Source organism: Homo sapiens, chromosome 7, assembly GCF_000001405.40.
Source record: "Homo sapiens chromosome 7, GRCh38.p14 Primary Assembly".
Lineage (NCBI taxonomy): Eukaryota > Metazoa > Chordata > Mammalia > Primates > Hominidae > Homo > Homo sapiens.
Genome location: NC_000007.14, coordinates 56,161,331 through 56,185,739, shown reverse-complemented (window position 1 = coordinate 56,185,739; position 24,409 = coordinate 56,161,331). Strand labels below are relative to the sequence as shown.

The 24,409-nt window shown below is 44.7% G+C and overlaps 2 pseudogenes; both read right to left on the bottom strand.

Moving 5' to 3' along the window:
- On the bottom strand, window positions 9,248–10,302 carry LOC100130909 (ribonuclease T2 pseudogene; annotated as a pseudogene).
- IFITM3P4 (IFITM3 pseudogene 4) lies at window positions 22,040–22,627 on the bottom strand (annotated as a pseudogene).

The following is a 24,409-nucleotide window of genomic DNA, read 5'->3' as shown; positions in this document are numbered from 1 at the left end:
CTGAGCTGTCCTGGGTTCCTGGGTAGCAAGGATATGCAGTACAGAGCCAAATGGGCTGCCCAGGGGTATGACAGAGCAAAGTGGGTGTATTAGTTTGTTCTCATGGTGCTATAAAGACATACCTGAGACTGGGTAATTTATAAAGAAAAGAGGTTTAATTGACTCACAGTTCTGCGTGGCTGGGGAGGCCTAAGATGTTTAGATCCACAGATTTTAAACTTGGCTAAGTTTTTATTTATGTTGAGGGTAGAAGCAAAATATTATAGAACGTGTAAGGACCTAGGAAACTTACCAACTACTTGCTCTTTGTGGGAAAAAAGAAATGGTTTTGGAAGACATTGTCTAATTGACCTAGAGCTAAATCAATATTATGAACTCCTAAAAGTCAGTGCTCTGACATGCTTTGTATATAAAAATGAAACTTACAATCATGTCGGAAGGCACCTCTTCACAGGGTGGCAGGAGAGAGAATGGATGCTGAAGCATCAGGAAAACAGCCTCCAAGATTCAGTTAACTCCACCTGGTGTTGCCCTTGACCCATGGGGATTATTACAATTCATGGTGAGATTTGGGTGGAGACACAGAGCCAAACTATATCAGTGGGCCTTCTGCAGAGCTAAGATGGGCCCCTAGGTCAGCAGCCTGGATGGAGGATAAGGCAGAAGCTCCAGAATCATGTTTCTTGAGACAGGGTCTCACTGTGTTGCCCAGGCTGGAGTGCAGTAGTGCAATCATAGCTCACTACAGCCTCAAAGGCTGTAGCAATCGTCCTACCTCAGCCCCCCAAGTAGCTGGGACTACAGGCACACACCATCATGCTGGGCTAATTTTTATTGTTATTTTGGAGGGACAGGGGTCTTGCTGTGTTTCCCCAGCTGGCCTCCAACTCCTGGCCTCAAGCAGTCCTTTCACTTCAGCCTCCCAAAGCTCTAAAATTACAGGAATGAGCCACTGCGTCTGACTAGGGATCATTTTTTATACAAAGAGTGTCAGAGCACTGATTTTTATGAGTTCATAATATTGATGTAGCTCTAGGTCAATTAGACAATGTCTTCCAAAACCATTTTTTTTCCCACAAAAAGCAAGTAGTTGGTAAATTTCCTAGATCCTTACATGTTCTATAATATTTTGCTTCTATCTTCAACCACAAATACAAATTCAGGCCAGTTTAAAATCCATGGATCTGGCCGGACATGGTGGCTCATGCCTCTAATCCCAGCACTTTGGGAGGCCGAGGCAGGTGGATCACAAGGTCAGGAGATCGAGACCATCCTGGCTAACACGGTGAAACCCCGTCTCTACTAAAACTACAAAAAATTAGCCAGGTGTGGTGGCAGGCGCCTGTAGTCCCAGCTGCTTGGGAGGCTGAGGCAGGAGAATGGCATGAACCCAGGAGAAGGAGCTTGCAGTGAGCCGAGATCTCCCCACTGCACTCCAGCCTGGGAGACAGAACAAGACTCCTTCTCAAAAAAAAAAAAAAAAAAAAAAATCCATGGATCTAAACACCTTTTCTGTAAAACTTGGGGGACATTATTCCATCCCTTTCAGCATTTCATATTAAGGAGTAGAAGTCTGAAGCCAACCTGATATTTTGTTGTCCTGTGGTGAAACTGATTATTTTCCTGCCTAGATATTTCTAGATGTTTGCAAAATCCTGGGCTTAAGTGTTCCTCTGCCTCTGCCTCCTGAGTAGCTGGGAATACTAGGCATGCGCCACCATGCCTGGATAATTTTTTCATTTTTTGTAGAGATGATGGGGGTCTCACCATGTTACCCAGGCTGGTCTCCACCTCCTGGGCTCAAGCTACCCTCCTGCCTCAGCCTCCCAAAGTGCTGGGATTACAGGCATAAGCCACCACACTGGGCCTGTGTGACTTATTTTAATTCTTGGAATTTTTTTTATTGCTAAAATATGAGTGAGAGTGTGTGTGTGTGTTTGTGTTTGAGTTTTACCTGTAATATAACAAACCATTTCAATCTTTAAATTCAGATGTGTTTCAGATCATACAGATTCCTTAAACATACATTTTTTATTTTGTTCCATTTGTCCTGTTTCTTTCCTCAGAAATCTCTATCATTCTAAAGTTTTCTCCATATCTGTCTAATTCTTCTGGCTTTTAACTATTAGTTTTTTTCTCCTGAACTCTGAGAGCTTCTCAAGTTTGTCTTCCATATCATTGTGTTTTTTTTAATACTGTATATCAGCTTCCTTGATTTCTTCTGTTAATTTCTCTTTCTTCTTGTTTGTCTCTGCTTGTTAAATCTGAATCTCATCCTGTTAAACCCTTCACCTCGTCCATTTCCTTCTTATGATTTTGCTTCCTCTTTGATCAAGGCAGTCTTCCTGCAACTGTTGTGGTCACCAAACAGTTTTCTAAAAGGTCGTCTTTGTTCTTTCAGTAAATATTTTCGGAACTATATTTTTCTACTTAGTACACCAAGAACTTCTGCCCTTTTCTTATTCTTCAGCATTTTTTCCACCTAGCCTATGTGAATTATCCTTTAATGTTCTCATCCTGAAAATAGGAAAGCATACCTATATTGGGGGCTTCTCAAGAGGTTTCATGTGAACTTCTTTGGGCTTTACTCACAAGCCCCATAAGTGCCAGGATGTCCCCTTTTCTTTGTATCAGAATGACCTGAATGAGATTCCCTTAATCAGTGGCTACTTTTACATTGTTTAGCCTGTAGATTTAATATATTGATCCCCTGCAAAATGCAAAATATGTTCGAAGCTACTTTGAGGTTATAGTTTTAAGAATAATTGTAACAGTAGTAGTAAGGAGACTCTCCCATCCAAAGCCCCTTGACATTATCTTAGGTAATCTTTACCTAGGTTTAGATCAGAGAAGGGGACGTCCTAGCCCTTACGGGGCTTGTGAGTGCCTAAATGATCCCACCTCATTCTTAACGATCTTAGATGCATTGATCTAGTCCTAATTTTCTGTTTTCTCCCATCCCCACAGCTTGGTCCTCTACCTTTAAGAAATAATGGAGACCTGGTGCAGTGACTCACGCCTGTAATCCCAGCACTTTGGGAGGCGGAGGCAGGTGGATCGCTTGAGGCCAGGAGTTTGAGACTAGCCTGGCCAACATGGCAAAACACCATCTCTACTAAAAATACAAAAATTATCCAGGCATGGTGATGCACACTTGTAATCCCAGCTACTTGGGAGGCTGAGTTGGGAGAATTGCTTGAACCCGGCAGGTGGAAGTTGCAGTAAGCAGAGATCATGCCACTGCACTCCAGCCTGGGTGACAGAGTGAGACTCCAGCCTGGGTGATAGAGTGAGACTCCATCTCAAAAAACAAAAAAAGAATGGAATATAGACTTACTGTTAGCATTTGTATGCAGTAAAAAATAGACCTAAAAGTTTATAATGGCTCAAATACAGCAGATATATATTTCTAGCTTGTGTAAGAGTTCAAGAGCTGCTGAAAGAGAAGCAGCTCTCCTCCATGCAGTGATTTAAGGACTCAGGCTCCTTGAGTCTCCATCCAGAAGATGGAGGAAAGGAAAGAGAACAAGGAGACAAAATCTCCTCTTAAAAGTCTTGGCCTAGGATGAGCACAAATCACTTCGACTCACATTTCATTGGAAATAATTAAATCATAACTATATTCAGCTTTGAGAGAAGTCCAGCTGTGTGTTCAGGAAAAAGAAAAGAACACTCATCTGGGTGAACAAGTCTGCCACAACATTAGAAACTTTCATCACCAGTACATACTACTATGCAGATTTTTCCTGCCTTCTCCCCTTGTCACCATTGCTTTTCATGGTTGTAAAAAATACAACTCCCAAATTCATTACTGTGACTCTTGCGGCTCCTTCTCTTCCTGGCTATTTTGAGTAAGATGGCCCATCCATCCCAGCCTCAGCCCCTGTGGTGCAAATTCTATAACCAGCTCAGGGAGCCCGAGATCATACTAGAAATTAATCAGAGAAAATTACAAGGAGAGGAGGAAGTGGCCAACATAAGCTAATTCCTCTTCTCTACTTGTTTCAGAAGACTCAGATTTTCTCTGGCAACAGAGGCAAAACAAAGCAAGCCAACACACCCCCAACTCAACAGTTCTCAACGTGTGGTCTTCAGGTCAGAGCCTTAGCATCACCTGCGTACTTATTAGAAATGCAAATTTTCAGGCTCCACCCCAACCTGCTGAATTAGAAACTCGGGAATAAGGCTCAGCAATCTGTTTGAACAAGCCCTTCAGGTAATTCTGTTATACACGATAAGTTGGAGAACCACTGCTCTAAATAAAGCAAGGCTGTGACCTGGGCCCTAGCAAGGAACCCTATGTGAACTAGGAGCAGTTTATTTTCATCAAAAGCAAAACATACAAGCGGAATGAAATTCTAATCTTATGAAAGTACAGAATGATGATAGTAAAACTCAAAGCTCTGTTCTGACTTATGAGGGAAACTTGTAAAATTAAAGTCTTCATTAAATAGAAAGATTTCATCACTCACAAATGGTTGCTTATTTGTTTTCTTTGAGGCTAATTATCTCATTCCCTGTGCTAAATCAACATGACCATCGGTTATAAACACAGAGACATAAAATATCTGATGTGAAAGGAATTTCTGTGACCATCAAGTCAATCCCCTTTATTTTATTTACATTATTTATTTATTTTTGAGGTGGAGTTTTGCTCTCTCTCCCAGACTGAAGTGCAGTCAAGGATCTCAGCTCACTGCAACCTCCACCTCCCAGGTTCAAATGATCCTCCTGCCTCAGCCTCCCAAGAAACTGGGATTACAGGCATGGGCCACCACGCCAACTTAATTTTTGTATATTTAGTAGAGACAGGGTTTCACCATGTTGGGCAGACTGGTCTCAAATTCCTGACCTCAAGTGATCTGACTGCCTCTGCCTCCCAAAGTGCTGAGATTACAGGCATGAGCCACCATGCCCATCCAGATCCCCTTTATTTTAGAAACTGGAAAACTGAGGTCCAGGAAGAGTAAGTGGATCTTCCAATGTCCCACCCTCTGGGTGCAGGGAGAGCCAGAACTAGTGCCCAAAAGTCCTGATTCTGGACCCAAGCACTCATTCTGCCTACATTATCTCATGTAATCATGTTTGTGAAACCCTCTGAAACATACAAAGTGCAAAGTGGTTGCATTCTATTAATATTAAATTGGGTTTGGAAAATTTGAATCCCAAATCTTAAAGAGCCAAAATCAAATGTGTGTGCAAATTTGTGCTCTAATCCCTGTCCAAATGCAAATAAAAAATGAATGAACAGTATCGTCATATAATTATAGAGGATTTTGGAGCATTAATGTTGTTATTAAGAAATGTAATGGAGGCAATCCCATCACTTTGGGAGGCCAAGGTGAGCGGATCATAAGGTCAAGAGATTGAGACCATCCCGGCCAATGTGGTGAAACTCCGTCTCTACTAAAAAAATACAAAAGTTAGCTGGGCATGGTGGCACCCACCTGTAGTTCCAGCTACTCGGGAGGCTGAGGCAGGATAATCGCTTGATCCCAGGACACAGAGGTTGCAGTGAGCCGAGATGGTGCCACTGCACTCCAGCCTGGTGACAGAGCAAGACTGTCTCAAAAAGAGAGAAAAAAAAAAAAAAGAAATGTAATGGAAAAGCATCAGGCAGCACGCTCTGATATCTCCTTTTTATGTTTTCCTCTAAAATGCCTGTGGTATCATAAAGATCTCAGAGAAATTTCCATTAACTTTAAGACAAATAGGCCTGAAGAGGGAACAGTAATCTGTGGGCTCCATAGACCTCATTTCACAAAGAGAGAAACCCAGGCATTGTAAAAGAAAGTGAGAAACGTGACTTTTCCCTCACTGACCCAAGAAACTAGAGCAAAAGCAACAAGAAATCTGGATCACACAGATGGCACACAAAACACTCTTTCCTGCCACTTTCTCCTGCCTCAGCCTTCCCATATCATTTCAACAGCCCTTCAGAGACAGCACCTCCTAGGAACCCACTGGCTGACCTGGTCAGAGACATTCAGTTTCCGAATGCAGTAAGAGTCAGAGCCATGCACTGTGGCAGAGCCAGAACACGTCAGAGATGGAGAGCAAGTGAGGCAGTAATGGGCTTGTGTCCCAGGTCACTGATAAATGGAGTTGGGTGACCCTGAGTTGGCTTTATGGGTGGTCTTGCTGCCTAATACCCCGTTGGCTTACACAGGGCTGGAATAGCCCTGGGAGCCCTGTTTACTTTGCAGTTGACTCTTCCTCAGGAGTGGTGTTCCCTCCCATTTATTTTTTAGGGTGTGAACTAAAATAGTTGTCTCTCTGCCTTAACTTTGTAACTGGCTGAATTGGGTCTTTGACTTGGGAATCATTTTTTAATAGCTTTATTTATATATAATTCACATACCATACAATTCATCCATTGAAATTGTACATTTCAATGGTGTTTAGTATGTTCACAGATCTGTGCGACCATAGCCACAATTTTAGAACTATTTCATCACCTATAAAACCCCATGCCCTTTCACTATCACCTTTCTATTCCCACATCCTTCCCAGCTCTAAGTAACCACTAATTTACTTTCTCAATAGATTTCCTTGTTATGAACATAATATGAATGGAGTCATACAGCACGTGGTCTTTTCTGATTGGCTTCTTTCACTCAGCATAGTGTTTTTATGAGTCATTCATGTTGTAGCATGTACCAGTGCTTCATTCCTTTTCGCTGCTGAATACTATTCCATTGCATGAATTGACCACATTTCATGTATCCATTCTTCAGCTGATGAACATTCGGGTTGTTTCCACCTTTTGGCCATTATGAATCATAGAACTGGAATTTTAGAATTGTCATGTAGTCTAAGGGAAAAAAATTTTTGAATTAGGTAATTTCCTTAATAACTTGCTGCTTTTATGTTGTTTAGCCTATTGATTTAATATATTGAGCCCCTGCAAAATGTGAAAACATACTGGAAGCTACTTTGAGGTTATAGTTCTTAAGAATATTTATAACAGTAGTAGTAATGTCTCTCTTACAAAGACATTATTATTAATGTCTTGTACATTATTTTAGGTAATCTTTGTAACACTATGAATCTGATATTACCAGTCCCCTTTCATAGAAGACATAAACTCTGATAATTTGGGATCACTAGAAGACAGGTTGGAAGACTTCTAGTTCAGCCTCTTGGTAAGGTATATTTTCATAGAAAAGAAATCCTTTTATTACCATTTTCTGTAACAATTAAGGCTTTTGCAGCCCTAGGTTCTGAATCAGAGACTAGCCTGTTTCCCCTATTCTAAATTCCACTATCTCTTTTTCTGCCTTGTAAAACATCACTTTTCACCTTTTATCATCACATCTGGGTTTAGGGTTATTCTCTTTGAGGTAGTCCATAGGAGAAAGATTGCATCAGAAGTCCTCTGAGATGGCTGCTAGCCCTAAAGGTTCTGTAGCATTTTATTTAGAGATGTAGAATGATTCCACCATTACAACAATGTCGGTGGCTTTCCTAACAGTCAGTTCCTTTTTGTAAGTTTGGATAAACCCAATAGAAATGCTGGCCATGTGGACTCATGCTGGCTGGACCTAGAACCATGGGAAACCAGGGTCTTGAATGGGTCAATGCCAGGGAGGGTCTTGTGTTTGCTACAGGAATAACATCATGAGGAAGGGAGATTACCACCAGAGCAAGGAATGAGTGAGAATTCAGAAGGCAAAGAGATGAGTCGGAGGCTGGAAATGGAAAGAAACATAAGATGAGTTAGGGCTGTGGATGGGTCAAGGTAACTGAAGTCTTAGTTATGTCGTATCTCTGTGTCTTGCTAAAAGGCAGAGTTGTCTAACAACCTAAATGTCCATCAGTTGTGACGAATTAAACTATGGTAAATCCATACAATGGGTAAATCCATACTATCAGTTCTTTAAACAGTGGTAGAAAGCTACACATTTTTCTGGGAAGATATTCATGGTATAGTATTGAGTAAAAACAGGCTATGAAACACCATGTCATTAATGTAAAAATGTGTACGTATATATGTGTATGTAATTATGTGTGTGTATATGTGTATGTAATTACATGTATGTGTGCACTTGTGTATATAATTTTATGTCTCTAAGATGTCTCTACTTTAAGATAATACTATTGACCAGACATTCACTATTTGCTAGTTACATGCATTATCTTGTCAGAACTTTACAGCAATTCTCAAGTAAAATATTAATATGTTTTAGATGAGGCAAGCAGGACTTTAGAATGTTGAGAAATTGACCCACAGTCACAGAGCAAGCAAATGACAGAGCTGGAACAGTAATGTCAGACTGTCTAACTCCACAGGAGATGCCCTCAATCACTGTATCACACCCCTATAAAGAATACAAGAAATATCTAGTCTCTAGTAACGACCATGACAGTCCATGAGCATCATTTCCCCTGTTACTTCTTCTCCAGGGACACAGTGAGCAGATCATTATGAACTCGAATCAGCCTTGACAAAGAAAGTTCAGCACTCACAAACCTATTCAAAACTGAGTGACTTAATCCTCTTCATATACCAATGTGATGATTACTTTTATGTGTCAACTTGACTGGGGTAAGGGATGCCCAGATGGCTGGTAAAACATTATTTCCAGGTGCATCTGTGAAGATGTTTCTGGAAGAGATTAGCATTTGAATCAGTAGACTGAGTAAAGAAGGCTGGCCCTCACCAATGTGGGAGGACACCATCCATTCCATTGAGGGCCCGAACAGTACAAAAAGGTAGAGAAAGGGCAAATTAACTTTCTTCTTGAGCTGAGACATCCATCTTCTGCTCTCAGACATCAGAGCTCTGGGTTCTTGGGCCTTTGAATAGGATGTAAGTCCTATTACATCAGCAGCATCCCCAGTTCTCAGGCCTTCAGATTTAAACCTGGAGTTAACATCATCAGCTCCCCTGATTCTCAGGTCTTCAGACTTAGACTGAATTACACCAGGGGCTTTCCTGGGTCTCCAGGTTGCACGTGGCGGATGGTGGAACTTCTCAGGCTCCATAATCCTGTGAGCCAATTCCCATGATAAATCTCCTCTCATATATAAATATATACACATTACATATACATTATATATGTGCGTATTATATACATTACATATAATATATATACATTATATACATTATATATAATATACATGATATACATAGTATATGTTATATACACATTATATGCTATATATAATATAGCTGACATATCTATAGATATACTGTTAGGTTGGTGCAAAAGTAATTGCAGTTTTTTTGTGTTTGTTTTGTTTTGTTGTTTTTTAGAAAGCTGCAGAAAGTGAATTTCTCTTGCTTTTTAAAACAGAATATTTCCCAAACTTGGGCATCAATGCTTGTTTTTTTTTAGGTGGGGGATAAAAGACTGGGCCATCTTCACATACCCTCAGACCCCGGCTCTTGGCAGCCCCATCCGCCAGCCAAACTTCCTACTTGGGGGACGGCTGCTTTCCCGCCACTACCCCCCCACCCCCCAAACCTGCACTGCTCGGTGCAGTTTTGCAGCTACTGGCCTTGCTCAGTGAGGCAAAGTTCTGTCTGACCAATTGTCTGTACTTCCCCATCCTGGCTTCGCGGAAGGCACTGGATTTTGGGTGTCACTCCATACACTCTGACAAGGGCATCTTTAAAATCTGCAACTTGGTAGTAATTGACGGATGGTTTTAGCCGCAGTTTTAGGAGCACACTGTTGCTGTCCAGCTCCCTGTAGAGTTCCCGGCTTCTGCTAAAGTACTTCTGGGAGTTGAGTGCGTCCACCAGGGCGGCAGAGGTCCCATGCTTCTTCATGCTTCCGGAAGTGGCTACGATTGGGAAACGAGTGAATTACATCAGGCCACTATGCCTTCATTTCCGGCAAAAGATCCTTAATCTCTTCTAAATTAAAGTGCCACGATCCATTACATCCTTCACTTTTATCGGGCCATAGTCCCATGTATTGTCCAGTAATCCGGAGGGTCTCTACAGTCGTTTTCAACTGTCTCGCATACTGTCTCAGGCCAGTGCTGGACCATAGTTTTTTCCACTCATGGTTATCACGCAGGCGCTTGTCCGCACCGCCCAGGAAAAGCAATGCCAGGCAGAGGCAGCCCAGCAGGGCCCCGCTCAGGGCTGCAGGGGCATGGTGCCGACCTGAGGAGACAGGACGCCTCCCGCTGCAGCTCCGGCCCCCACTTCCCACCCACCGCCCCAGGAAGGCTTCTCGGACAAACGCTGTCTCCGAGGACCCCGCGCCGCCGCGCTCCTCCCGCTGCAGCTGCGGCCACTGGGTGCGCCTGAGCCAGCGCCTTGCGTGCCCAGCACTGGGCTCCGGGAAGGGCCGCAGCAGCCCTTGGCGACCCCGGCCCCTCGGCGCTTCCGTCCGGGCTCGGCGCCGCAACCCACTGCGACCCCAGCTCCTCCTCGTTGCAGCCACCGCCTGCCCAAGGCCACGGTCAGTCGCGCTTCCGCCCAGCCCAGGGAGTGCCTCTGGCCTTCACCGGAGCACAGAGCCACGCCCCCTGGAGAGGACGCCCCCCCGCCCCCCCCCACCCCCGGCTGACACATCCCCACCGGACGCCACGCCCCCGCCCGGCGTTCACGCCTCGCTCCGCGTTTGGCCCGCAGAGGCCGAGGCCGGAGCAGGTCCGTGGTACTTGCGGGCGTGTCAGGCAGCTGAGTTCCTTCGCCACGCAGGCGCCCCGCGCCTTTCCACGCAGCTCTGCGCCACTCCCCCACTGCCAGGTCCGAGCTAGCCTGGACCACCCGTGAGGAGCGCCCTCGGGGGGACCACCCTCGGGGTGGCCTATGTCTGCGCCACCCCCCCGCCAGCAAGTGGGTGTGCGGGACCCAGGGCCACCCGGCGCTCCAGGGACAGCCCCTAGCCCAACCCGCGCACTCCGCAGGTCGGCGGCCCGCACGCCGCAACCGCCTTGCACGCCGCCTGGGACTTCCTGACTGCAGACGGTGCGTGGCCGCCCTGGCTCCCTGCAGCCGTCACGTCGGCGCTCCACTGCGCAGCCGAAGGGACGGCTCCAGAATTAGGCGGGGACGTACTCGGGCCACTCCCCTGGAAACCTCTGGGTGCTAGGAGCACCAACATTCCTAGAAGGGCCTGGCCTCACCCAGCCCTGGGCCTCACCTAGCTCTGGGCCTCACCTGCCCCTCCCCGCTGGCCCCAGGAGCCCAGAAGGCATCTCTGTGGGGTCCGCAAAGAGCCGCCTCGGAGCGCGACCTGGGAAGTCATCTTGTGAGGGATCCTCTCCCAGAAGGACGGGCCACCCCGGACAGATGAAGGGGACTTCATGTCAGCCCCACCTTGACGCAGCCAGGCCCAGTCCCAGAGGCCCAGGCGCCTCCCCCAACACGCTGGCCTTCCCAGCCCCTCCAAGGCGCGGGCTCACCACCCCGCCCCAGCTACCACCACTGCCCACCCCGCCCACCCACGTCCCCCTCCGCTCCACCAACCTCCTCCCCGCTCCCCCACCCCCGTCCTCATCGTCCCCCCCACCACCCACCACGCTTGGCTGCCTAGGCCTCCCAGAGTGTTGAAATTACAGGCGTGTGAGCCACTGCGCCTGGCCCTTCCTATAACTTTTGATGTAATGTGTTGTGCTGGGTGGGATCATTGTCAAGTTAAACATTAGGATGGAAAACTGACAGCAGGCTTAAGTCCCTTCTAACTCCAAGCCTCTATGAGTCGAATCTAGTCTTTTCCTCATTCATAAAATAAGCATAGTTATTACCTTGCCTGCCTACTTCACACCACGCCTGTTAGCATTGGTTGTGACCACATTGGTTTGGAAAGTGCTAAAAATTTAAGGGGTATCCTTTCGGGCAACACTCATCATGCTTACCTCATTTCAGCATGCCAACTCCACATGACTTATGGAAGTTTCCAAAACACCTCAAAATAGAAAGAATTCTAATATGACCCCTTCCGCCCATACCCATCACCCAGTGGCAGAAATTACCAGTATTTTTTTGCTAAGCTCATCATATGGTTTATTGACCTTGTTCCCATCTGCCTTCTCCTGAGCACTTTCTACGTTGCCAGCGTCCCCAATGAAATGGAATGATTAATGGATTTTAAGCTATTGGAGTAGAGAGCATGTCTGTCCTGTTCATCATGGTATCTCTAGTGCCTGACATTGCCCTGGTCATGGTAGGCTCTTAATAAAAAATTATTTGATAACTGGACTTGGCTGGGCACAGTGGCTTATGCCACTCCATCTCAAAACAAAATAAAACAATTGAACTCATGGAGCTAGAGAGTAGAAGGATGGTTATAAGCTGGGAAGGGAAGGGTAGTGGGGGTATGTGAGTTGGTTAATGGGTATAAAAATATAGTTAGATAGAATGAGTAAGACCTAGTATTTGACAGCACAACAGGGTGACTGCAAAAATATGCTGGGTGCGGTGGCTCACGTCTGTAATCCCAGCACTTTGGGAGGGTGAGGCCGGTGGATCACGAGGTCAGGAGTTTGAGACCAGCCTGGCCAACATGGTGAAACCCTATCTCTACTAAAAATACGAAAAAAAAATTAGCTGGGTGTGGTGATGCTCATCTGTAATCCCAGCTAATTGGGAGGCTGAGGCAGGAGAATTGCTTCAACCCGGGAGGTGGAGGTTGCAGTGAGCTGAGATTGCACCACTGCACTCCAGCCTGGATGACAGAGCGAGACTGTGTCCAGAAAAAAAAGTTATCTGGGCATGGTAGTGCGAGCCTATAATCCCAGCTACTGGGGAGGCTGAGGCAGGAGAATCATTTGAACCCAGGAGGTGGAGGTTGCAGTGAGCCAAGATCGAGCCAAGTTCGAGCCACTGTGCTCCAGCCTGGGTAACAGAGAGAGACTCCATCTCAAAAAAAAAAAAAAAAAAAATTGAAAGACACCAGAAAGTGTGAGTGTTGCCTTATGGAAGAAGAGAAGCTATTGCCTGTTTGCTTTTTCATGCTCTTTATTCTTTAACATCTGCCTTCTGTCTTATCTCAAGATGCATGGACATCATTGTCAGGCAGACTTTGGTTCAAGTCTGGGCTCAGCCTCTTTTACAGTGGTATGAACATGGTGAGTTACTTAACCTCCAAGGCCATACTTTCTTCGTTTGATTTTTAAAATACTTCACTGGCTCTTTGTGGGGACTAAATGGGATATTTAATATTTCACTTACTGTGCTCTACAAAATTCCCGATAAGTTCTCAGTAAGGGATAGCCATTTACATTCTTATCCTCTGTAATTTTCTTCCCTGTGTTATGTTTAAGTAATTTTTTTTTCTTTCATGGAGAAGGTACTAGGAAAGTAAGATGTGGGAAAATGGGACTATTTACATATCAGAAAAGGAAGATTAGTAAAAAATTAATACGTGTTTATTTCCTCTGCTTGTCCATGTTGATTTCTCCTGCAAGAATGAACTTGTCTCTTTTTGCTCATTGCACCCAGGAGGGACAAAACCATGTCCAGAGGTCCCCTTGTTGAGGCTCTGACATGCGCTATTTTTTTACTTTGTTTTGGGGCTCACCACCCCCTGGGAACACTGGTCTTGCAGTCTACTGGGAGGCGGAGGTTGCAGTGAGCCGAGATCGTGCCACTGCACTCTAGCCTGGGTGACAGAGCAAGACTCCATCTCCAAAAAAAAAAAAAAAAAAAAAAAAAAGAAATGAAGGATGGATGAATGGATGAAAGGAAGGAAAGGAAGGAAGGTACCAGTATGTAGCCTGTTAGGAACTGGGCCAGTGAGCAAGCAAAGCTTCATCTGTATTTACAGCCATTCCCCATAGCTCACATTATCACCCTTTCTTTATAAATAAAGATAATACAGTTGTATCCTTTAAACCACTAAGTTTGTGGTAACTTGTTATAGCAACAAAAGCAAAGAATACAGTCACCAAGGGTATAATAAACTGTTCAAAGAGGGAGTGGTCGGCAGGGTTCAGTGCCCCTGGCATACGGATGGCCCCAGATGGGGTGGTACTCTAAGTCAAGGTGGGGTGTGCATTTTTTAAAATTAGGGTGGAGGCAACAGGTTGTGAGGGCAAGGCTCAGAGTAAGGAGTGGGACTTCGTTGACCAGGGATGGGAAGGGTGAGCCAGGCTGGAAGGGGGTTGGGTCTTCGTACCAAGCCCGCCTCCAGGGGTGAGCCAGAGTCTGGGGCCATCAGCCTAGCTGCAGGGACTGCAGCAGCAGAGAGAAAAAAAGTAAGGCAATCTCTAGTTGCTGCTTGTACAAGATTGGCAGGTGGGCAGTGCACAGAAATAGAGCACCTGGGAAGGGGATGGGGTGTATCTAGCTGGATATTCCTGCAGACTCTTGGCATTAAGAAGGCCTCTCTGGGACTGGGTATGGTGGCTCATGCCTGTAATCCCAGCACTTTGGGAAGCCAAGGCAGGAAGATCACTTGAGGCCAGGAATTTGAGACCAGCCTGGGCAACATGGCAAGATCCTGTCTCTTCAAAAAATAAAAAACATTAGTTGGGCACAATGGCACATGCCTGTGTTCTCAGTTACTCAGGAGACTGAGGTGGGAGGCTCGCTTGAGCCCAGGAGGTGGACTCTGCAGTGAGCTATGATCATACCTAGCCTGAGTGCTGTGCTGCACTCTAGCCTGAGTGACAGAGCAGGACTGTGCCTCTAAAAAACAAAACAAACAAAAAGTAAATAAATGAAAAAGGCTTTTCCATAGGCAACAGGCTGAGTCACTCACTGACTGGGTTGGGATTGAAGGTTAGCGCTTCAGTCCGAGATGAGAATTAGAGTGCTAAATGGGTGACTAGGAGCTGGACTAAAACAGAAAACAAATGAAAAGGTGAGACTCCGGGTAGATCCTGGTTTGGGTGAACAAGATGCAAGCCTAGGTATCAGAATATGCTCCTAGAAGTGGGGGCAGAGGCACCTAGGTGATGGGAAACTGAGGCTGAATGTCAGAGCAAGGCCTGGAGGGAGTTAGTTCTCCTTCCTGCACCAGTTCAGATCTGAGATTGTCAGGAGGGGGATCGAATAGCCACAGTCAGAGCCAGCAAGGCTTGCCATAGAGAGCAGAAGTAATGTCACAAAACTGGGTCAAGGAACAGTTAAGAGCAAAGCAGCACCAACCAAGGGTGAAGCTCTGTCTCATCCACAAGTTCTTCCAGTGCTCCTGGTGAGGCTTCTAGTCTGAGGATGGAGCAGATTAGAAGGTGAAGATAGGGAGGGAAGATGAGTGCATGAATATTAACTTAAGGCCAGGAGTTTGAGACCAGCCTGGGCAACATAGCAGGACCTTGTCTTTATATGGAAAACTATACACTTTTATTACAACCCTGTTTCAAGTTGAAGATGCTGAGGCTTTCAGAGGAGGTTGCTTTGCCCAGAGCCCTAAAGCTGTTAAGTGGTGAAAACAGAAATGGCTTTGGGTCTTTGAACTCTCGGGCTTGGGCTCTTTTCCCTGCACCAAAGCCAGCTCTCCAAAAAGGGCCAGGTCATGATTTGCATCTGGCTTGGGTCCACGTGCACATATTTTATAAGGATTGTACAATCTTGGCTCCTTTTTGGTAGGGAATATTCTATGCATTTGAATCCTGAGATGTGGACACTAGATTTCATAAAGCTATTGCCTTTTCTATATTGGCTGTGAGTCAACTGGAGTTGAGATGAGGTGAGAAAGGGCTGGAAATAAGAGCTAATGGATTCGGCATGGAGATATGACACTTGCATTTTTCACTACATTTTAATCTACAGTGAGATGGCCTCCCATGGAATATTTCTGTGATGAAGTCCTGTCCAAAAAAGAAATCACTCATCACAGATGGTAGAGTGAGATGTAAAAATAAATGAAACTGCATATCAATATTTTCTGAAAAACCATTGTTCTGAAAAGAGGAGGGGGCACAGCCAACTCATGCCTGCCGTCATTTACAATTGGGCACACCTGGATCCCATCCTCAAAGATTCCAACTGGATAGGTTTGCACCCGGACATTCAAAGAGCCATTCTGATGCACGTCAAAGGTTGAGCACCACGATGCTAAGTTCTTCCTTGTGACAATTTCACTTTTGTGGGTTTCATTATCAAGTGGCCCCATAACTCCTTGCATTGCACAAATCTGTGCAGAGGCGGGAATCAGAAACCTGCCCTATGTGAGACCTGTGGTGAGAACGACGACCCCAGTAAGCCCAGCTGACTTCTTCGAATTTGAGTATTGGTTGGTTAGTTAGTCTCTCTATGACTCTACCTCATTTAGGGTCTGGAGTTGTGCTCCAGTTTTTGAAGAAAAAAATGTGCTGGCATAGTACTCACGAATTGGAGGATTTGAATGGTTCCCTTGACAGCATTAAAAGCCTATCACCTAAGCCTTTCCAAGTGTTCTCTTTGCTTACTTGCCACATGTAGGTTTCACATCCAGAATAAGTCACCGGCCCTGAGAACATCTGATTTCCATGATCCTGGCAGTTTCTCTGATGGGGCTTCTCTGGGTGAGCAAATGTATCCTTCTCTCTTTCTTGTTTTACCTGGTTGGCATAGGAGGGAAGAAACCCAGCACAGATTTTAGTCTATAATGATTGTGGAGTATTTCCAGATGTGAAGTATGTAATCCTGTTGGTTCTGCTGTGTCTGCCAAGCAAGAGTCTAACAACTGCATTACAGAATAGAACAGAGAGTGAAACAAATGTGAAACGTGATTCTGTTAGTAGGCTGTGCTTGAGGAGAAATGAACACAGTGTAATTAGCATGCATGCTGGGCTGCTTTTTCCCGTTTGTGTGTATTTTAAAATAACTTTGGATGGAAAGATGGTTGAAGGGGGAAGGTAAGGCTGATTTGTGGAGCAAAAAATATTGATGAACAATGTGTTTCTCTGGTTCTAATTCAAGGAGATTGAATTTTTCTGAAAATTGTGGCTCAGTGAACAGGCTCATGTTAACCAGAGAGAAAGAGGCAAGCAGTCATCCAGGAGAGGTGGTGGGGTAAAGAACTGATTACTTGTCTCCTCTCTCTCTCCCTTCCTGGTGTTGACTTGTTTGGACAAGCCTTTCTCAGCAGGGGGATGTGATAGGTTAAATGCAAAACTATATGGGAGAGAGGACTGGGCACAGTGGCTCACGCTTGTGATCCCAGCACTTTGAGAGCTGAGGCGGGAGTATTGCTTGAGCTCAGGAGTTCAAGACCAGCCTGGGCAATGTGGCGAATCCCTGTCTCTACAAAAAAATTAAAAATTAGCCAGGTGTGGTGGCACATATCCGTAGTCCCAGCTACGTGGGAGGCTGAGGTGGGAGAATCGTCTGAGCCTGGGAGGTCAAGGCTACAGTGAGCTGAGCTGTGATTGCACCACTGCATGCCAGAGCTTGGGTGACAGAGACCCTGACTCGAATATGTGTGTGTGTGTGTGTGTGTGTGTGTGTGTGTGTGTGTATGTGTGTGTATGTATGCCACCATGCTCAGTATATATGTGCATGTACATACACATATATACATATATACACACACATATACATATATGTGTGCATATATACGCATGTTTATTTATATATACACATATGTGTATATATTTACACATATATACACACATGTGCGTATATTCACACATATACACATGTGCGTATATTTACACATATATACACATGTGTGTGTTTACACATATATACACATGTGTGTACATATTTACACATATATACACACGTGTGTACATATACACACATATATACGCATATGTGTATATATGTGTATATATGTACACGTGTGTATATATGTGTATATATGTGTATATATGTACACACATGTGTATATATGTGTATATATTTATATATACACATGTGTATATATTTATATGTACACATGTGTATATATTTATATGTACACATGTGTATATATTTATATGTACACATGTGTATATATTTATATGTACACATGTGTATATATTTATATGTACACATGTGTATATATTTATATGTACACATGTGTATATATTTATATGTACACATGTGTATATATGTACACATGTGTATATATGTACACATGTGTATATATGTACACATGTGTATGTGTGTATATATGTACACATGTGTATGTGTGTATATATGTACACATGTGTATGTGTGTATATATGTACACATGTGTATATGTGTGTATATATGTACACATGTGTATATGTGTGTATATATGTACACATGTGTGTGTGTATATATGTACACATATGTGTGTATGTGTGTATATATGTACACATATGTGTGTATGTGTGTATATATGTACACATATGTGTGTATGTGTGTACATATATGTACACACACACATGCACATATATACACACTCACATATATAAGGGAGAGGTTAGAAAAGTGAACACCTTGCCAGGCGTGGTGGTTCACACCTGTAATCCCAGCACTTTGGGAGGCCAAGGCAGGCGGATCACCTGAGGTCAGGAGTTCAAGACCAGCCTGGACAACATAGTGAAACCCCGTCTCTACTAAAAATACAAAAATACAAAAATTAGACCAGCCTGGCCAACATAGTGAAACCCCATCTTTATAAAAAATATATAAAAATTAGCCTGTAATCCCATCTACTCGGGAGGCTGAGGCAGGAGAATCACTTGAATCCACAGGGCAGAGGTTGCAGTGAGCCGAGATCGCACCATTGCACTCCAGCCTGGGCGACAAGAGCAAAACTCTGTCTCAAAAAGTTAAATTAAATTAAATTTAATTTAAAAAAAGTGAACACCTTAATACATACCTGTAATGGAATCTGTTTGATTTCTGACTGTGGGTGGTCTTGGAACCCTGCAAGGTCTCCTGAGCCCAGTACTCAGCCTCATCCAGAACACTTGTAGCTCTCCTGGAAGTTAGACCCTATTGCCTGCATCACGATGGACTTTCTTGATCCAAGGCTCTGCCTTTCTGCAAGACCTCTGATAATAATAGCCTAGTGTCATGCTTTGCAAATACTGACTGTCCCCCAATGTAGACTGCCTATTGCTTACTCCATTGCATCTCCTTCTGACGACTGCTACCATCATTGATGGGTTTGGTCCTGGGTCTTGGTCAGCTGCACCTCCAACATTCAGTGCATGTCTATGACAGCATCCCCAATACAAGCATATTTTGCCTCCTGTTGCACTACCACTGTGATTCATGAATGCTTGACCTGTGTGATTTCTTTTCTTTTTCTTTTTTTATTTTTTAATTTTTTTATTTTTGAGACAGAATCTCACTCTGTATCCCAGGCTGGAGTGCAGTGGCATGATCTCGGCTCACTGCAACCTTTGCCTCCCAGGTTCAAGCAATTCTCGTGCCTCAGCTTCCCAAGTAGCTGGGATTATAGGTGTGTGACACCATACCCAGCTGGTTTTTGTATTTTTAGTAGAGACGGGGTTTCGCCATGTTGGCCAGGCTGGTCTCCAACTCCTGACCTTGTGATCTGCCCCCCTCAGCCTCCCAAAGTGCTGAGATTACAGGCGTAAGCCACCATGCCCCGCCTCTTTTTTTTTTTTTTTTTTTTTTTTTGAGGCAGAGTCTCACTCTGTCTCCCAAGCTGGAGTGCAGTGGCATGATCTCAGCTCATTGCAACCTTCACCTCCCAAGTTCAAGTGATTCTTGTGCCTCAGCCTCCCACGTAGCTGGGATTACAGATGTGTGACACCACATGCAGCTAATTTTTGTATTTTTAGTAGAGACGGGGTTTAGCCATGTTGGCCAGGCTGGTCTCCAACTCCTGGACTCATGTAATCCACCCGCTTCAGCCTCCCAAAGTGCTGGGATTACAGGCATGAACCATGGCACCCGACCGACCTTGTGATTTCTAACTATCTTCATGGACAGTCACGAAACAGTCCTGGGAACCTGGATTTCAGTCTTGGAAGCTTGGATGTGTTGCTTAACTGCTCTCTGTGTTAGTGGCTTTGTCCAAAGAAGGGATTGTGGAAGCTCGACCTCACACCTTTGCAACTAGGTAAACCAAAAGTCAAAAGATGCTTGATAACAATGAACCGCACTAATGCCTTGGTGTCTTTATTGGGTCTGTGTTTGCTGTATCTCACCTCTCTAGGATGACAGGCATCCTCAAAGTGGGACCTAAGTTTGTGGTTCAATTTGGAGAGCATGCAGGATGTTCCAGAAGTATTATAGGATGTCATCAGACATGTTTAAAATGTGTTAAATTTTACACAAACATTTTACTTCTATTTGCAATGTCATTGTCTTCTAAATCATAAATCCACTTTTTGAGTCACTTAAATATTTTCAAAACTCATTATCACTTTTGTCCAATATAGGTATATTTTTTGAGACAAGGTCTTATTCTGTCAACTAGGCTGGAGTGCAGTGGCTCAATCATAGCTCACAGTAACCTTGAACTCCTAGGCTCAAGTGATCCTCCTACTTCAGCCTTCTGAGTAACTGGGACTACAGGTGTGAGGTGGCTCAGATAATTAAAACAAATCTTTTTTGGTAGAGACGAGCTCTCACTATGTTGCCCAGATTGGTCTCAAACTCCTGACCTCAAGTGATCCTCCTGCCTCAGCCTCCAAAAGCACTGGGATTATGGGCATGAGCCACTGTGCCCAGTTCATTTTGGTTGAAATCTTTAAAACTTCTATTTGGCAGTGAGTGTGGCTCAAAGGTAAGCAATATAACAAGTATTTTTGGAAAGTGCAAATTGAGCAAATGCAATATGAAATGCAGGGGTAAGTTCATATATCAGTAGTGAACATAGTAAGTTTGGGCTTAAAATAAAGACCCAGTTGTACTATGTAAATAAGAGCATCCTCTGTGTTTCTTTATGGATGGAGTAAGAGGAATTGATTTTGAAATCACCCATGTTAAATTCTTTGGAAGAACTATTGTGTATTTTTAAAATTCTGTTTGTATTTTAAACTCAGTGAAATTCACTCTCTCATATTTTAGCCTGCACCTATAGTAAAAATAAAACTGGCAACTTCTAGTGTTTATTCCATTAGTATTCAATTATATTTCCCAGAGAAACAGCTGGAGGCCATCTCTCCAGTGACAAATGTGTTTGATTTGACTTCATCACCACCACAAGGCACATAATTTACTAACATTTGCTGTAGTACAATTTTAACAAGTGGGGTGATTCACCCTGGGAAAGGAGAGAAGAAGAATGCAAAAACCGAGAGACAAAAACAGAGGCAAAGGTGAGCATGGAATTAGTAAGGTGTCTGTGCCTCTAAAAATCTCTATTTTTACAGAAGCACAACCTTGACACCGAAGCGTGCACAATTTTAAGGACATAGCTCAATGAACTGTCACAATTTGAGCACATCCACGTGCCAACATTCAGCTCAAGAAATGCAACACATCAACAATCTAGAACCACCCTTCCATACCCCTCCTATACCTCCCTTCCCCACAGTACCTGAGATTGACTGTGTTTTTGTTGATTTGTTTTTGGTTTTTGTTTGAGATGGAGTCTCTTTCTTGTTGCCCAGGCTGGAGTGCAGTGGTGTGATCTTGGCTCACTGCAACCTCCACCTCCCAGGTTCAAGTGATTCTCCTGCCTCAGCCTCCTGAGTAGCTTGGATTACAGGCGTGTGCCACTACGCCCGGCTAATTTTTTTGTATTTTTAGTAGAGATGAGGTTTCACCATGTTGGCCAGGCTGGTCTCGAACTCCTGAACTCAGGTGATCTGCCCACCTCGGCCTCCCAAAGTGCTGAGATTACAGGCGTGAGCTGTTGCACCCGGCCTTGTTGATTTGTTTTTAAGGATCTTTGCAAACTGTCATTTGAGCAGTTTCTCAGCCAGTCTCTTGTGAGGAAGTCCTGGATGTGTTTGTAGACTAAGGTTTCCATGACTCAGGTGTTAGATTTGGGCACTGTGTTCTGAAGTTTCATAGTGGCTCAAAAGGGAGCAAAGGTTTATGATGAGAGGCACGAATCTACCATCCTTTCCCCTGCTGCCTTGGGAAGCCACAGTCATCTTTTTCTTTCTTTCTGCACTGACTTCTCCAGCATGGACACAGGCAGACACCTGATCTATTTCCTTTCAGGACTGCTGTGAGGCTCTGATGACATGATGGATGTGAGAACACTCTGAACAGGATGAAGTATTGTTAAATGATTATATCCTTTTTTTTTTTCGCAGCAGCACCAGAAACATATACACTTTATTGAATGCCATTGTAGAAAAGTGTGTGAGTATAAAGGGCTGATACAGGACTTGGCTCCGGGGCAGGGCAAGGAGTGGAAGGTGGAGTACATGGGATACAGGTCATGGGCAGAGCTCCTGGCCTCAGTGATGCCTCCTGATCTATCAATGGGCTTGGATGATCAACACTGGGATGACGATGAGCAGAATGGTCATGAGGATGCCCAAAGTCAGGGCCCAGATGTTCAGGCACTTGGCGGTGGAGGCATAGGCCTGGGCCCCGGTCAGGTCGCCAACCATCTTCCTGTCCCTAGACTTCATGGAGTAGGTGAACGCTATGAAGCCCAGGCAGCAGGGGTTCATGAAGAGGGTGTTGAACAGGGACCAGACAACATGGTTGGGCATGGAGGTCTCGCTGCAGATGTGGATCACGTCGGGGGAGCAGGGTTGTGGGGCACCCCTGGCACAGCCACCTCATGCTCCTCCTTGAGCATCTCATAGTTGAGGGGCTGGCCGCTGTTGACAGGAGAGAAGAAGGTTTGGACAGTGTGGTTCATGGTGTCCAGCGAAGACCAGCGGTGGTCGGGTTCGATTATATCCTTTAACCAACATGATGGAAAGGTACTGATAGTGCAGGGAGTTATCTTGAACAAGAGGAAGGCATGTAAGTATATGTCCAAACCAAAAGAAGTACTGACCCCAATGGTTTTAAACGGCTTTCTATGATTCTCTAACTTTGGAGAAATGCCATTAACTTATTAGCTTTTCAGGGCATAACCCTAATAAGGGCCAGTGACAGAATTATCTCTATAGGATTTTAGGCAGCGGTCCCCAACATTTTTGGCACCAGGGGCTGGTTTCATGGAAGGCAATTTTTCCACGGATGGGGGTTGGGGGTGGGGGGATGTAGTGGGATGAAACTGTTCCACCTCAGATCATCAGGCTAGTTAGATTCTCATAAGGAGTGCACAACCTAGATCCCTCACGTGCACAGTTTACAATAGGGTTCACGCTGAAATGGGAAAAGTTTTTCCTTATCTACCTCGCAGGGCATGCAATGGGGGTGTGGCTCACTTTTTCAGTGCCCTGCTGCTCAAACCCCTAGGGGGAGTGTGCAGACGGGCAAGTCTAGGGGTTAGTGTTTACAGCTCCCAAAGCCCCAGTGGGCATCCGTTACCACGTGCTCTTTCAGCTTAGCCATCCTCAGGCAGCTTGTGTTAATTAGCTCAATTATATTCTCTGCCTTATCGCAAAGACAGAGGGCTTTCTGTATCTCGGGTTCTTGCCCTAGTGTACTGAAAAATTGGATCACAAGTGGGCTTGGAGGATGGGGGCAAGGCTTTATTGAATGGTGGGAAGTAGCTCTCAGCAGATGGATGGGGAGCCAGAAGGGGGATAGAGTGGGAAGGTGCTCTTCTCCTAGAGTCGGGCTGCTTAGTGGCCGGGCTCTCCTCTGACCTCTGCTGACTTCCCCTTGGTGTCCGTGTCGTTCCATCATCAATGGCCTGCCAGCATCTGTCAGTGCGTTTTTCTGCCAGTGTGTTCCTCTTGATGTCCAACTGCTTGTGTGTGTGCCTGCTGGGGTCTCAGGGTTTTTATAGGCACAGGATGGGGGGTGTAGTGGGCCAGAATGGTTTTGGAAAATGCAACATTTGGGTGCTAAAACAGGAATGCCTGTCCTCACATAGGTCTGTGGGCACAGGCCTGAGGGTGGAGCCTTGCCAGGGACCCCACTCCTCTCTACCCAGCACTTCCCTACCCCCCTCCCATATCAATGCTCCAATGAGAATCTAATGCTATTCTTAATCTGACAGGAGGTGGAGCTCAGGCGGTCATGCTCACTGGCCTGCTGCTCACCTCCTGCTCTTTGGCCCAGTTCCTAACAGGTCACAGACTGGTACCGGCCCTTGGCCCAGGGCTTGAGGACCCCTGATCTAATGAACTTTATTCTGTTTTGTAGCTGTTCCTATTTTCCCCAACTACATCCAATCCTAATAGCTTGTAATTAGATGATCAGATTACCAGAAAAATCAAGATATGTTAACCTACTAATAGAGGACTATTTTTACACAGATCCCAGCATATTCCAATATTTAGGATATGAAGTGATGACCTTTCTGTGCTTTGCCTAAGCAATTTTTGGAATACAGGTTGGTACCCTATAGATGATGTGTTAGGCCTTGGAAATATAATAGTTAATGAAGTGGTCACTCTCTTTACCCAATGATATTTTAAATTTCTCAGCAAGTTTTCCTTATCTTGTTTAGTTTCCTTCTTATTTTGTTGTGTTTTCATCTCAGCCTCTTCCCTTTTGGCTTTGCATTCCTGGATCATAGAGGTTAGATGTTGCCTATCAAGAATAAGTTTTCTA